Source organism: Homo sapiens, chromosome 13 (genome assembly GCF_000001405.40).
Source record: "Homo sapiens chromosome 13, GRCh38.p14 Primary Assembly".
NCBI classification, from domain to species: Eukaryota; Metazoa; Chordata; class Mammalia; order Primates; family Hominidae; genus Homo; species Homo sapiens.
Window position 1 is genome coordinate 21091243 of NC_000013.11, and position 13769 is coordinate 21105011.

The 13769-nt window shown below is 45.1% G+C and overlaps 2 pseudogenes, besides 1 other annotated feature; both read right to left on the minus strand.

Moving 5' to 3' along the window:
* RPS12P23 (ribosomal protein S12 pseudogene 23) lies at positions 3053–3553 on the minus strand (annotated as a pseudogene).
* Positions 10804–10971: a silencer, noted in NCBI's record as "fragment chr13:21676185-21676352 (GRCh37/hg19 assembly coordinates)". NCBI's record gives its function as "represses an EF-1alpha promoter that drives an FKBP-Casp9 reporter gene in an ReSE screen in phorbol 12-myristate 13-acetate-treated (for megakaryocytic differentiation) K562 erythroleukemia cells {active_cell/tissue: K562(+PMA)}" and the evidence as "EXISTENCE:reporter gene assay evidence [ECO:0000049][PMID:32094911]".
* Positions 11464–13265, minus strand: IPPKP1 (inositol 1,3,4,5,6-pentakisphosphate 2-kinase pseudogene 1; annotated as a pseudogene).

Here is a 13769-nt window from a genome sequence, read left to right on the forward strand (position 1 = left end):
CCACAAAAATACTGAGGCTCATACCAAAAGTGAGGAATTTGAGGATTATTCTCTTTTAATAGAAAAGGATATTACTGTAACAACGAAATACTAGCAAATCACCAGGTCCAGATGGGAGGCACGGTGGAACATTGAAGGAGGTGACAGAAAAGAACTGAGGCAGATGCCTCCTCTTCTGGTCTGGTTTCTTGAGCAACTGTTGTTTTCCATTGTCCTGCACTTTGCCATCATCCCTTCATCCAACTCCTCTGAATTCAAAATAATTGCTGAAGTCTGTCTGGCAGATCCTTAAGAGGAGTTTCCAATCTTTACATGCTTCTGAAATAAATTTCAGCAAAACACCTCTCAGTCTGGCTAGGCAGGGATTCTGAATCTTTTCTGAGCCATGAACCCCTTTGACAGTCCAGGGAAGTCTGTGGATGCTTCTCAGAAGATTTTCTAATGCATAAAATAAAATACATATGATTACAAAGGAAACCAATGTTATTGAAATAACCACGACCATGTGTATTAGTCCATTCTCCCGCTGCCCATAAAGACATACCTGAGGCTGGGTAATTTAAAAAAGAAAGAGGTTTAATTAACTCACAGTTCAGCATGACAGGTGAGGCCTCAGGAAACTTACAACCTCGGTGAAAGGGGAAAAAAACGTCCTTCTTCACAGGGTGGCAGGAAGGAGAATGAGTTCCAGCGAAGGGGGAGGCCCCTTATAAACCATCAGATCTCGTGAGAACTCACTATCACAGGAACAGAATGAGGGAAACCACCCCCATGATTCAATTACCTCCACTTGGTCCCTCCCAGGACACATGGAGATTATGGGAACTACAATTCAAAATGAGATTTGGGTGGGGACACAGCCAAACCATATCTTCATACATTTTAAAAATCTGGTTATGTAGTGATATGTGTGTGTGTGTGTATTTCTTTATTCATGCATTAGGATCTGATGGGAGATCTAGCAACTTCCATAGTTTTGAAGTAAGATTAACCATAAATGGTATTTGAAGAATAACTACAACAATTATAATGTCATATGAAAATATCTACGATTTCTCTGGGAGACAAAGTCACAGGTACTGCTAATATACTTGGATGTGCTGCCTACATTCATAACAAAAGAGAATGCTGAATTTCAGCTAGAAATCCCTAGACTTGTGTCCCTTTCATGAAGGGGCAGCAAGGTAAAAGGCTTAATGTAGAAGTGAATATTAGGCATGATTACAATATATGGCAGGTCATTTGGTTTCCTTCCAAATGCAATGACATTTCTGGAGTAATCAGTAAATATTTTTCAAAAATTTGGAAAAAAGGAGAAGTCTGGCTAACAAAAGACAGCTTTAATAAATCCTAACCAGATTAAAAAAAAAACAAAACAAAACAGAAAACCCCCAAAGCCATATATTTTTGCAGTCAATGCTTAAAAAGGGATTTTAGGACAGGCATGGTGGCTCATGCCTGTAATCCCAGCACTTTGGGAGGCCAAGGCAGGCAGATCACTTGAGGCCAGTTCGAGACCAGCCTGGCCAACATAGCGAGACCCTGTCTCTATTAAAAATACAAAAATTAGCCGGGCATGGTGGTGGGTGCCCGTAATCCCAGTTACTTGGGAGGCTGAGGCAGGAGAATCGCCTAGGAGGTGGAGGTTGCAGTGAGCTGAGATTGTGCCACTGCACTCCAGCCTGGGTGACAGAGCGAGACCCTGTGTCAAAAACAACAACAACAACAACAACACGGATTTTAAAAGTAGTAGCAGTAAACAGCTGAACTTCTGGTGAAGCAACCACAAGAATTTTCCAAAACTAATTGGATATCAAATAATCTGTTTTCTACTGTTGTAATTGACTTATCTAGATCCTAGAGCTCCTAGGTTCATTTTGGTAGGTAATGGTAACTGCCAAAGAATTCTGAAGTGATTAGGATTACCTATTCTCCCGTATCTCACTACCAGCTTATAAGGAAAGCAAGTCTCAGCCCAAATTCAGACACACACACACAGATAGTTACTAGACAGACATTTATTAGCAAAGCAAGCACAAAACAGTTCATAAAACCTATTCTGTAAGCTTAAAGAAGTTCTAGCACTCTCTCTCTTTTGTTGCTCTGTCCAGACCCTTGCTGTGGTAGTTGCAACAACATTCCTAGGATGCAAAGGTTGGCCCCTGGGCTGAGTAACCCTCACAACTCAGGCCAGACCCCAAAAGTACAGTTTGCAGGCCTCTCCACTCTTTGCAAGAGACCAATCCATACTCAAATGTCTTTAATTTCACCAAATGGTGCCCTATTTCTATCATTTATCTTGCCAAATAACAAGACACTATTTTCATCAATAAAAGCCCATTTTTGATACCTAGTATGCTTGTTAGAGAAGTTGAGGTTGCTGATGGAGACAGAGAACAGAGGGACCAGTCAAAACCACCTGAAAAGGATCTTCCCTCTGATGAGATGCTAGCTGACCACTCCTGCACTATGCATTCTTCTCTCTGCCCCAACATTTTATTACAAAAATTCAACAGCAAACTTGACAATGAACACCAATATGCCGCCAGCTACATCAAGAGTTCTCAAATTTTAACTAGTACCAGAATCACCTGGAAAGCTGGTCAAAACACAGATTGCTGGGCCTCCCCCAGAGTCTCTGATTCAGTGGGTCTGACCTGAAAATGTGCATTTTTGTTTGAAGTTTTATTATTCTTATTGCTACTATTATTTTGAGATAGACGGAGTTTCACTCTGCCACCCAGGCCGGAGTGCAGTGGCACCATCTTGGCTCCTGCAACCTCTGCTTCCCCAGGCTCAAGCCATCCTCCCACCTCAGCCTCCTGAGTAGTTGGTACCACAGGCCCGCACCACCATGCCCAGCTAATGTTTTGTATTTTTGGTAGAGACAGGGTCTCGCCATGTTGCCCAGACTGCTTTCAAAGTCCTGAGATCAAGTGATCCGCCTACCTCAGCCTCCCAAAGTGCTGGGATTAGAGGAATGAGCCACTGCACGCGGCAAAATGTGCATTTCTAGTAAGTTAGTTAGCTTCCTTCCTTCTTTCTTTCTTTCTGAGCCAAAGATTTATTTCTTCATTTCTTGCATTTGAAGTACTCTTCGAGGGACATCCTTGGCCTGAGATTCCTTGCCATAGTCCTTAACTACTACACAACTGCAACCAACCACTTTACGGGGTTTCCCCTCTCTGTCAGTTTTACAGAGACCTACCCATTCCCCTACTTTCTTGTTGTCATCAACCTTAATGAAGTTGATTTGGTGTTTAGCACAAATGGCTTCCACCAACTTGACATACACAGTCTCATCACAGTTGGATGCAAGCACATAAAGATGGGCTTGGCCCTTGTCTAAGGGTTTGGCAGCTTCGTGAATTCCACGTGCTAGGCCATCGTGGATGAGGGTGGTCTTCAGCACCTCTTGTAAAGCAGTATTAATGTCCATTACACCTCCAGCAGCAATGCCTTCCTTGGCCATGGCGGTGGGTTACCGGTGAAGCCCAATCTTGATCTCACCCAAGCCTCCGCCTCCGCTTGACTCGGCAGCGGCAGGGAAAGAATGCATTTCTAGTAAGTTTCTAGGTGATACCGATGCTGTTGGTTCCTGCACATCACTTTGAAAACTGCAGACCTTGGTTCTGGTTTTGCTGTATTTATATCATCTCACATCTATCCACTAATCCCTCCATCCACCCATTCATCAGTCTTTTTTTCTTTTTTGATGGAGTCTTGCTTTGTCGCCCAGGCTGGAGTGCAGTGGCGCAATCTCGGCTCACTGCAATCTCTGCCTTCCAGGTTCAAGGGATTCTCCTGCCTCAGCCTCCCGAGTAGCTGGGATTACAGGCATGCGCCATCATGCCCTGCTAATTTTTGTATTTTTAGTAGAGACAGGGTTTCACCATGTGGCCAGGCTGGTCTTGAACTCCTGACCTCGTGATCCACCTGCCTCAGCCTCCCAAAGTGCTGGGATTACAGACGTGAGCCACCGCGCCCGGCCGGGATTTTTTTTGGGGTAAAATTTACCTACAGTGAAATGTGGTATTAAAAATGTTCTAATTGGGAGGCCATTAGATTGTGGGGGGGAGGGGTCTTAGCAGTTTAAGTTCCTACTAAGCAAACAGAAGCCCAATGTAAAGAGTGAAAGAGAACTAGAGACTTAACCAATCAGAAACCACCAACTAACCTCTAACTAGGGCCTTTACACTTTAACCAATCAGATATGCTTTCTTTGTCTTGCTTCCTGGAACACTTTATAGAGGTTTCCTCTGCCACCCCTCCCAGGGGAATGCTAAGCCGCTTATGGTTTCATGCTGTCCAATTCATGAATTGATGAATGCTCAAATAAACTCTAAAATTTAAATGTGCCAAAAGTTATCTGTTAACAGTGGACTGTGCAGTCTTTTTCTAAAGTTTATTGAAATATAATTTACATATGGTAAAATTCACTTTTTTTGCATATAATTCTATGAGTTTTGGCAAATACATACTGTTAGGCACCAAAATCAAGACACACAGCATTTCCCTTGATAAAAAATGTCCCATGCCTGTAATCCTAGTACTTTGTGAGGCCGAGGTGGGCAGATCACTTGGGCCCAGGAGTTTGAGACCAGCCTGGGCAACACAGTGAAACCCTATCTCTACAAAAAATACAGAAATCAGCCTGGTGTGGTAATGCCCACCTGTAGTCCCAGCTACTTGGAAGGCTGAGGTGGGAAACTTGATTGAGCTTGGGAGGCAGAGCTTGCAGTGAGCCAAGATAGTGCCACTGTACTCTAGCCTGGATGACAGAACAAGACCCTGTCTCAAAAAAAAAAAAAAAAAAGAATCATTTAACAAAATATAGTAATTTTTGTAAACAAGGAAGAACATTTAATGCTGGCAAATGAGGCTGCCACTCTCATACGTTAGTCCTGAAGGTTTGGACTACCTTTCTGGAAAGCCATTTGTCATCAGGATATTTAAATGTTACAGCTTTATAAATAAAATGTTCCATCACGCCACTTTGTAGTAAATAACTGCCCCAACTTTCAGCCCTTGACAACCACTGATCTGTTTTCTACCTTTATAGTTTTGCCTTTCCCTGAATGTCATACTAATGAAATCATACAGCATGTAGCTTTTTGGGTCTAGCTTCTTTCACTTAGCGTACTGCATTTTGAGATTCAGGCATGTTACTGTGTGTATCTGTAGTTCATTCCTTTTATGCTGATAGCACACTGTTAGTTAGAACTTCTTATAATTAAATTTGAATCCGATTGGCACACACATGATATCACAAGGTTGACTGAAGTATTTTATTTATTTCGTTTTTTATTTTTAAAATATTTTGATTCTAGAGACCTCTTTATGGCAGGTTTGAACTTCTGCCTCAAGCGATCCTCCTGCCTCAGCCTCCCAAAGTGCTGAGAATGTAGGCATAAGCCACCGTGCCCAGCCTTTTTTTTTTTTTTAAGACAGGGTCTCGCCATGTTGCCCAGGCTGGAGGGCAGTAGCACAATCATACCTCATTGTAACCTCAAACTTATGGGCTCAAGTGATTCTCCCCCCTCAGCTTCCCAAAGTGTTGAGGTTACAGCAGTAAGCCACCATGCCTGGACAACTGAAATATTTTAAAGTAAATTACAAGGCCAGATATGGTGGCTTGCTCCTATAATCCCAGCACTTTGGGAGGCCAAGGCAGGAGAAATGTTCAAGACCATCCTGGGCAACATAGTGAGACCCATCTCCATAAAGCATTTTTTAAACATTAGCTAGGCATGGTGGTACATGCCTGTAGTCCCAGCTACTCAGGAGGCTGAGGTGGGAGAATAACTTGAACCTAGGAGGTCAAGGCTTCAGTGAGCTGTGATCATGCCACTGCACTCCAGCCTGGGCAAAAGAGTGAAACTCTGCCTTGAATGAATGAATGAATGAATGAATGAATGAATGAAGTAAATTACAGCTATCTTCACACCTGTTGGCATGATAATGCCCATGTGCTGGACTCTGGCCTTAGTCACAGCCTGCCTCTCACCTTCCCTGCTCCCTGGTGATGTTTGCTACTCTGCAGCCTGTGATTTCCTTAAAATGACTTAATGCAGCCTGGCACTCTGTATACTCTCTCCACCCTCTCCTAGTAACTCTTGGGGCAAATGCTTTCTATAATTCCATGGGTTGCCAGCCATGCTGCCTGAAATTTAGGTAAACTCCCCATGTAATCATAACATTACCCTTTCTCTTGGACCAATTATTTCTCCTTCTCTTGAACCAATTTCTCCTTCAAGTCAACACATTTCTCCTTCTCCTTTTTTTTTTTTTTTTTTTTGAGACGGAGTCTTGCTCTGTCGCCCAGGCTGGAGTGCAGTGGCGTGACCTCAGCTCACTGCAACCTCTGCCTCCCAGGTTCAAGCCATTCTCCTGCCTCAGCCTCCCGAGTAGCTGGGATTACAGGCGCCCGCCACCATGCCCAGCTAATTTTTGTATTTTTAGTAGAGATGGAGTTTCACCATGTTGGTCAGGCTGGTCTCGATCTCCTGACCTCAAATGATCCACTCGCCTCAGCCTCCCAAAGTGCTGGGATTACAGGCATGAGCCACCGCGCCCAGCCAAATTTTTGTATTTTTAGTAGAGATGGGGTTTCACTCTGTTGGCCAGGCTGGTCACGAACTCCTGACCTCAGGTGATCCACCCACCTCGACCTCCCAAAGTGCTGGGATTACAGGCGTGAGCCACTGCGCCCGGCCCATTAAGCCATTTTTTAAAAAGGAGAAAAAGAGTGAGATTAATTTTAGGGATATACTTTATTTAACCTAAATTATCATTTCAACATGTAATCAATATCCAAAAAAGTATTAATTTACTTCCTGTTTTTTGTATTAAGTCTTCAAAATCTGATATATATTTTAACCTATAGCACATCTATAATAAAATCCAGACTAGCCACATTTTAAGCAAACAAACGCCACGTGTGGCACGTGGCTAGTGGCTATCATATGAGACTTCATCAGTCTAGAAGCAACCATTAACCAGGACCCCCTTAGTGGAGAGGGGAAAGGGTTGGGCTGTGAGTAATAACAATAACAACAAGAATAATATTTTAGAGCAAGTTTTGTTGTGCAGAGAGACTTTCATAGACATTTCTCCTGTGGTCTTTGTAGTATTGCTGTAAGATCATTATTTTCACCATCATGGTTTTGCCATAAGAAAATTAAGGCTCTGTGGCGTGAAAGTGGCTTGCTCAAGGATGCTCAGTAGGTGTTACAGCCTAGCTTCTCTTCCCACACAACCTCCCATTAGACAGAGAGACCCTTCAATCTAGGTGCTGCTGAGGAACATGAAAGCAAGTGGGACACCACCTCAATCATTTCAGATGGTGAGACCCCAAGGAGGAATGCTCACATGAAAATGCCAAAAGGCCAGTGGACTTTAATGCTCATAAGAATTTCCAAGACACATTTGCTTATAATAAAGATTTTTGGGTCCCAAACCCTGGCATGCTTGTTCAATAAGGCTCAGGTGGGAACCCCAAAAATCTACATGCTTGTTTAGAGTTCCAGGTGATCCTGATACAGGTAGTCCTAAGAACCACAAATTTGGATACACTGGTGTGGAAGAAGATACGGGACCTTCAGCCACAGGTCCAGCTGATGAAATGAAATTCATGGCGGCTGTTCAGAAAGTTGTTTGACCTTAGGCAATTGAAGAAGCCTAGAGAGGTGGTATGTGCACAAAGTGGAATACTACAGAATTATAAAACATCATGCTATAGCAGATTTAATGACATGTCAATATGCTTGTTAGGAGGGGTGCGGTGGCTTACGCCTGTAATCCCAGCACTTTGGGAGGCCAAGTTGGGCAGATTGCTTGAGCTCAGGAGTTCGATACCAGACTGGGCAACATGGTGAAACCCGTCTCTACTAAAGATACAAAAAATTAGTCCGGCGTGGTGGTGCATGCCTGTGGTACCAGCTACTCCGGAGGCTGAGGTGGGAGGCGGAGGTTGCAGTGAGCTGAGATCGTGCCACTGTACTCCAGCCTGGGTGAGAGTGAGACCCTGTCTGAAACAAAACAAAAGAAACAAACAAACAAACACACACACAAACAAAACCCCCAAAATGTTTTTTATATATTGTGTAAAAAGGAGGTTATTATGTTTATTTTTTATTTTTATTTTTGTAGTATGTTATACTCTAATGAAAAGTTTTTTTAATCACACCTGTAATCCCAGCACTTTGGGAGGCTGAGGAGGGCAGATCACTTGAGGTCAGGAGTTGAAGACCAGTCTGGCCAACATGGTGAAACCCCATCTCTACTAAAAATACAAAAATTACCTGGGCATGGTGGCAGGCACCTGTAATCCCAGCTACTTGGGAGGTTGAGGCAGGAGAATGGCTTGAACTGGGGAGGCAGAGCTTGCAGTGAGCCGAGATTATGCCATTGCACTCCTGCCTGCACTCTAGCCTGGGCAGCAAAACGAAACTCCGTTTCAAAAAAAAAGAAAAGAAAAGAAAAGTTTTTTAAAAAGGAGATTACCAAAAGTTAGTTTCATTCTATATTTGTAGAAAAGGTTATATATGTATGTTATTTATTATATAAAATTATACATTTAAGGCCGAGCGGTGGCTCATACCTGTAAACCCAACTCTTTGAGAGGCTGAGGTGGGAGAACTGCTTGAGGCCAAGAGTTTGAGACCAGCCTGGCAACAAAGTAAGACCGCGTGTCTAAAAAATAAAAATAAAAAATAAGCCCAGCGTGGTGGTGCGTGCCAGTAGTCCCAGCTACTTGGGAGGCTGAGGTGGGAGGATCTTGAGCCCCGGAGTTGGAAGCCACAGTGTGTCGTGATTGTGGCACTGCACTCCAGCCTGGGTGACAGAGGAAGACTCCATCTCTAAAAAATAAATAAATAGATAATATGCATGTATTGATAACTTCAAGATAGATACCGGCATGTGTGCCTGTGTCTGTATATATGTAATATTAAGGACATTTTCTTGAAAATGAAAGCATCTTCTAAGGGAAAAAAGAAAAGTTTTCCCAGCAGCCCTAGCTGGGAAAGCATTAATAAGGTCAAGTAGCTCTTCCAGAGCAAGCCTCTCCTCGCTGCGGTGCAGGGACAAGTACTGACTGCTGAGGACTCCCAGCTTCCTGGACACCTTGATGCCCCCACGGCACAGGAGGGCCCTTCTGGTGGTGACCTGGCTCAGCTCTTCTCAGAGAAAGCGAGGCCCATCCCGCAGGCACGGGATGCTTCAGTGGTGGAGAATTAAAGCAAATGGAAAAGCGTCTTCTGAAAAGATGTGCTTTCCTGTCATGCTGTCCTGAATTTGTGACCCAAATCTTCTCAGACAGCTTTAGACATTAGTGAAAGCATCAGTCTTAAGAAAACTTGTTCATGTTTCCAGGGAAATGTCTTATTTTCATGCACGGGTTAAAATTCCACACATTTCTGACAATTAAATGTCAGAAATCTATCATTTTTTCTCAATTTAAGGAAATATCTTTGTTAGAGATTCAACTGTGTTCCCAGAAAGGTTGGAGTTCTAACGTCCAGTAAGTTCAGAATGTGACCTCTTTTGGAAATGGGGTCTTTGCAGAGGTAATCAAGAAAAAATGAGGTTAATCCAATATGACTGGTGTCCTTATAAGAAGGGGATATTTGGGCCGGGCACGGTGGCTCACACCTGTAATCCCAGCACTGTGGGAGGCCGAGGCAGGCAGATCACCTGAGGTCAGGAGTTCGAGACCAGCCTGACCAACATGGTGAAACTCCATCTCTATTAAAAATACAAAAAAATTAGCCAGGCATGGTGGCGCACTTGGCAGGCTGAGACACGAGAATTGCTTGAGCCCCGGGGTGGAGGTTGCGGTGAGCCGAGATCACCCCACTGCACTCCAGCCTGGGCAACAGAGTGAGACTCTGACTCAAACAACAACAACAACAAAAAAAAAAAAAAAAAAAAAAAAAGAGGCTATCTGGACAAAGATAGGCAGAGACAGGGTGATGTTTGTACAAGCTGAGCAACACCGAAGGTTACCAGCAACCACCAGAAGCTGGGGGAGAAGCCTAGAACGGATTCCCCTCCCAGCCGCAGGAGTCAACCCTGCCCATACTTTGATCTTGGACTTCCAGCCTCCAGAACTGTGGGGGAAGTAAACGTTGTTTAAGCTACCTCGTGTACAATGGCACTTTGTTCTCGCAGCCCAGGCAAACAGTACCTTTATTCTGTCTTGAAAAAATTATTATAATGGCAATATATAATCATTGTAAAACATTTCGGAAAATGAAGGAAAGTATGTGTTTGTCCATTTGGTTGTTATAACAAAATAAACACAAGAAAATTATTTCTGGCATTACTGGAGGCTGGGAAGTCCAAGAGCAAGGCATTGGTTGGCAGATTCCATGCCTGGTGAGGGTCCACTTCTTGGTTCCTAGACAGCCCTCTCCTCACTGTGTCCTCACATGGCCAAAGAAGTGAGGGTCTCTGGGGGCCTCTTTTTTTTTTTATTTATTCAAACAAGTATAATTCTCAAGTTATCACAAAATATCCCCCCCCCCAAATTTACAGTCAGCAAAATAGCTTCCTTATTTCTCATGTATCATTTTCATATAATTCCATGGTTTCACTAATATTATATGTTACAATAAGCCTCCACTAGTCCCTCAAAACGATGATATAAATAATCAGTCTGTACAACCTAGCCTAGAGTAAAAAACTGAAACCAAGTTTCCCAACGTTTTTCATAGCAGCCGGGCACACTTTGGTGACCCCAACGAGAAACCTCTCGGCAGCAGACAGGAGCTGTTCACCTTCCGGAAGCAGGGCCTGTGGCAGCCTGACAGGGAGAGGCCATGGGGCCCAAAAACGCAACTTGTTTCAAGGCAAACCTGAGGGAGGAACTTGGTCTGGGAGGAAGAGAAAACTAGCTCCTCAACCACCCCAAACACCGGAGTGTCAGGAAAGCAGTGAGCTGTCAGGGCACACTGTCCTGCCCGGACACAGCAGCTCAGCCAGTCACAGCTCCACCTCCAGCTTCTACAGCAGCAATTTCCAGTGGGAAAGAACACCTCATCTCCCCCTCATGTGAAAGATAAAATCGTAAAGCAAAAAAATTGGTCAATGCTCGCATGAGTGGTGTCCATCCTGACCTGAGTCTCGCACTCCCTGCTGCCCCACCTGGAGCTGTGGGCTTCAGCACCTCCACAGGGACCCTGAGTCTACATTGCTCAGAACTGGCATCTGCATGACTGTGAGGTCATGCTCTGCAGCAAGGTACCACCTAAAAACCTGTGTTGATATGTGGCTTGCACTGAAAAAGTGACCATGTAACTCAGCTGGGGAAAGTTCCAGTAGTATCCATGTTTTCTTAAAAGTCCAAACTGTAAAATGTATGTGACAAGTCAAGTTTTCTATGTTAAGAGTCTGGTGGTAGCAGATCAAACCTTAGGTCTTAGAATAAGGCTTTTCGCATTAGATAATCAGAGACGAGCACTGGTTGGGAAGGAAGAACTACCCAGAAGGTCTTCCCAGGGCTTAACGGACACTTCCATTTTAAGAATGAGAGCAGCTTCCTGGGACACAGCACTCATGTCCTACATTTCTTTTCCAGGAAGATGTTTCTAGTGCTCTTCAAATGCATGTCTCCAAGAGGCAATCCCACCTCAACAGGGGTTAAAAGCAAAAACATTCACAACCAAAGGTCACCCAACCCAACAGAAAATAGCTCTATCATTCAACCTTCACATTCTATGTTCAAGTTTCAAAGACACTGCAGGGAAAAAGTTAGATCTTGTGGAGAACTAATGTGCAATCTTCACTTTCCTTGAACCGAGTCGACATCATGGTATTGTCTTTGGCACGTACAGTCTTTGAATAGTAGTTGATGATCTTGCCATCCAGTTTATACTGATAGGGAATGCTCTCGTAGGGCTTGAGGTCAAGGTCCACCACAGACATGGAGAAAGCAACCCTGGGCCTTGATGAAGGGATGACAGGCCTTTGATCAGATCTGGCATCCTGCAGACACGGAGAGAGTGCAATCATGATGGAGCAGTCCTTGGCAGTCATGGTGATGCAGTACTGCTGCACCTTGAGGCCGAGGAGGGCGGATCACTTGAGGTCAGGAGTTCGAGACCAGCCTGGCCAACATGGTGAAACCCCATCTCTACTAAAAATACAAAAATTACCTGGGCGTGGTGGCAGGTGCCTGTAATCCCAGCTACTTGGGAGGCTGAGGCAGAAGAATGGCTTGAACTGGGGAGGCGGAGCTTGCAGTGAGCCGAGATTATGCCATTGCACTCCAGCCTGCACTCCAACCTGGGCAACAAGAACGAAACTCGGTTTCCAAAAAAAAAGGTCTGTCACAGTAACGACAGTCATGCGTGACATCACTCGAGAAAGGAATAAACCCACGTTTTGGCTTAATCTCTACACACAGAATCGGCCGATGGTGCTCTGAAAAGTGGTAGGTCTGAAGTCTGGTTAAATGGAGAAGGCACATACTGTAACCACTGAGAGTGTCCAGGTCCTTGTCACAGTGAGACTCTGGTCTTTCAGATTGTATCTTTATTTTATTTTTATTTTTTAATTTTTTTTGAGATGGAGTCTCATTGTGTCGCCCAGGCTGGAGTGCAGTGGCGCAATCTCGGCTCACTGCAATCTCTGCCTCCCGGGTTCAAGCGATTCTTCTGCCTCAGCCTCCCGAGTAGCTGGGACTACAGGCACACACCACCACGCCCGGCTAACTTTTATATTTTTAGTACAGGCGGGGGTTTCACCATATTGGCCAGGCTGTTCTCGAACTCCTGACCTCGTGATCCGCCCACCTCAGCCTCCCAAAATGCTGGGATTACAGGCGTGAGCCACCGCGCCCGGCCCAGATTGTATCTTTAAACGAAGCTGTTTCACAAACTCTAAAGGTGGCTGAACAACTTCCCCACAATGAACATAGTTCTCCCCCAAAAACTCCATGACATTTTTGCCAAAGTCCACTATGTTCTGCAGGTGCTGAAATATCTCTTCCGAGGTCTTCTTCCTATTTGGAGGAAACTTCAGAAAACTCAGCGAGACACAGCGCTGCACGTGTGGTAGGTACCCTCATTAATTCGCGTCCATTAGCCCCTCTTCCATGCCCTGGCGCAGCCCTGGCGCCTCGCGGGCTGGGACGCGGGAGCGCGAGCTGGGGCGCGGGAACGCGAGCTGGTGGCTGCCCGCCTCGCTGGGCACCAGCCACTGCCATCGGGAGAGGAGTGCCTGTCAGCTGCCGCCACCCACTCGACCCTGCCGCCGCGACTCGCAAGCTGTGGCCCTTTGGGGCTTCTTTTATAAGGGCACAAATCCTATTCATGGAGGCTCCACCCTCATGACCTAATCACCTTCCACAGGCCCCACCTCCTGCTACCATCACACTGAGGGTTAGGATTTCAACACGTGAATGGGGCTGGGGTCACACAAACATTCACACTGGAGCACACACTTCCTTCTAGAAGGAAGAAAAGGAAAATCACCGGTGCTACCACCAAGAGACTTACTCCTCTGTGCACTCATTTGCCCATTCAGCAAATCTCTGATGGAGCAGGTGCCGCGCTGGAGGCCAGGGAGGGGCGGTGCAGCAAACAGAGGCCTCGGCTTTGAGGAGTCAGGCAACAGAGTACAGTCAATCCACAAACACACCAGGTAGCTTAAGTGCGAGGAAGAGAGAGGATGCAGGCATGAACCACAGCGCCCGGCCCAGAATGTACATTTTTAAAGTTTGCTACAGTTGTCTAGTGACCTTCCGGAAGGTCATGCTGATTTGC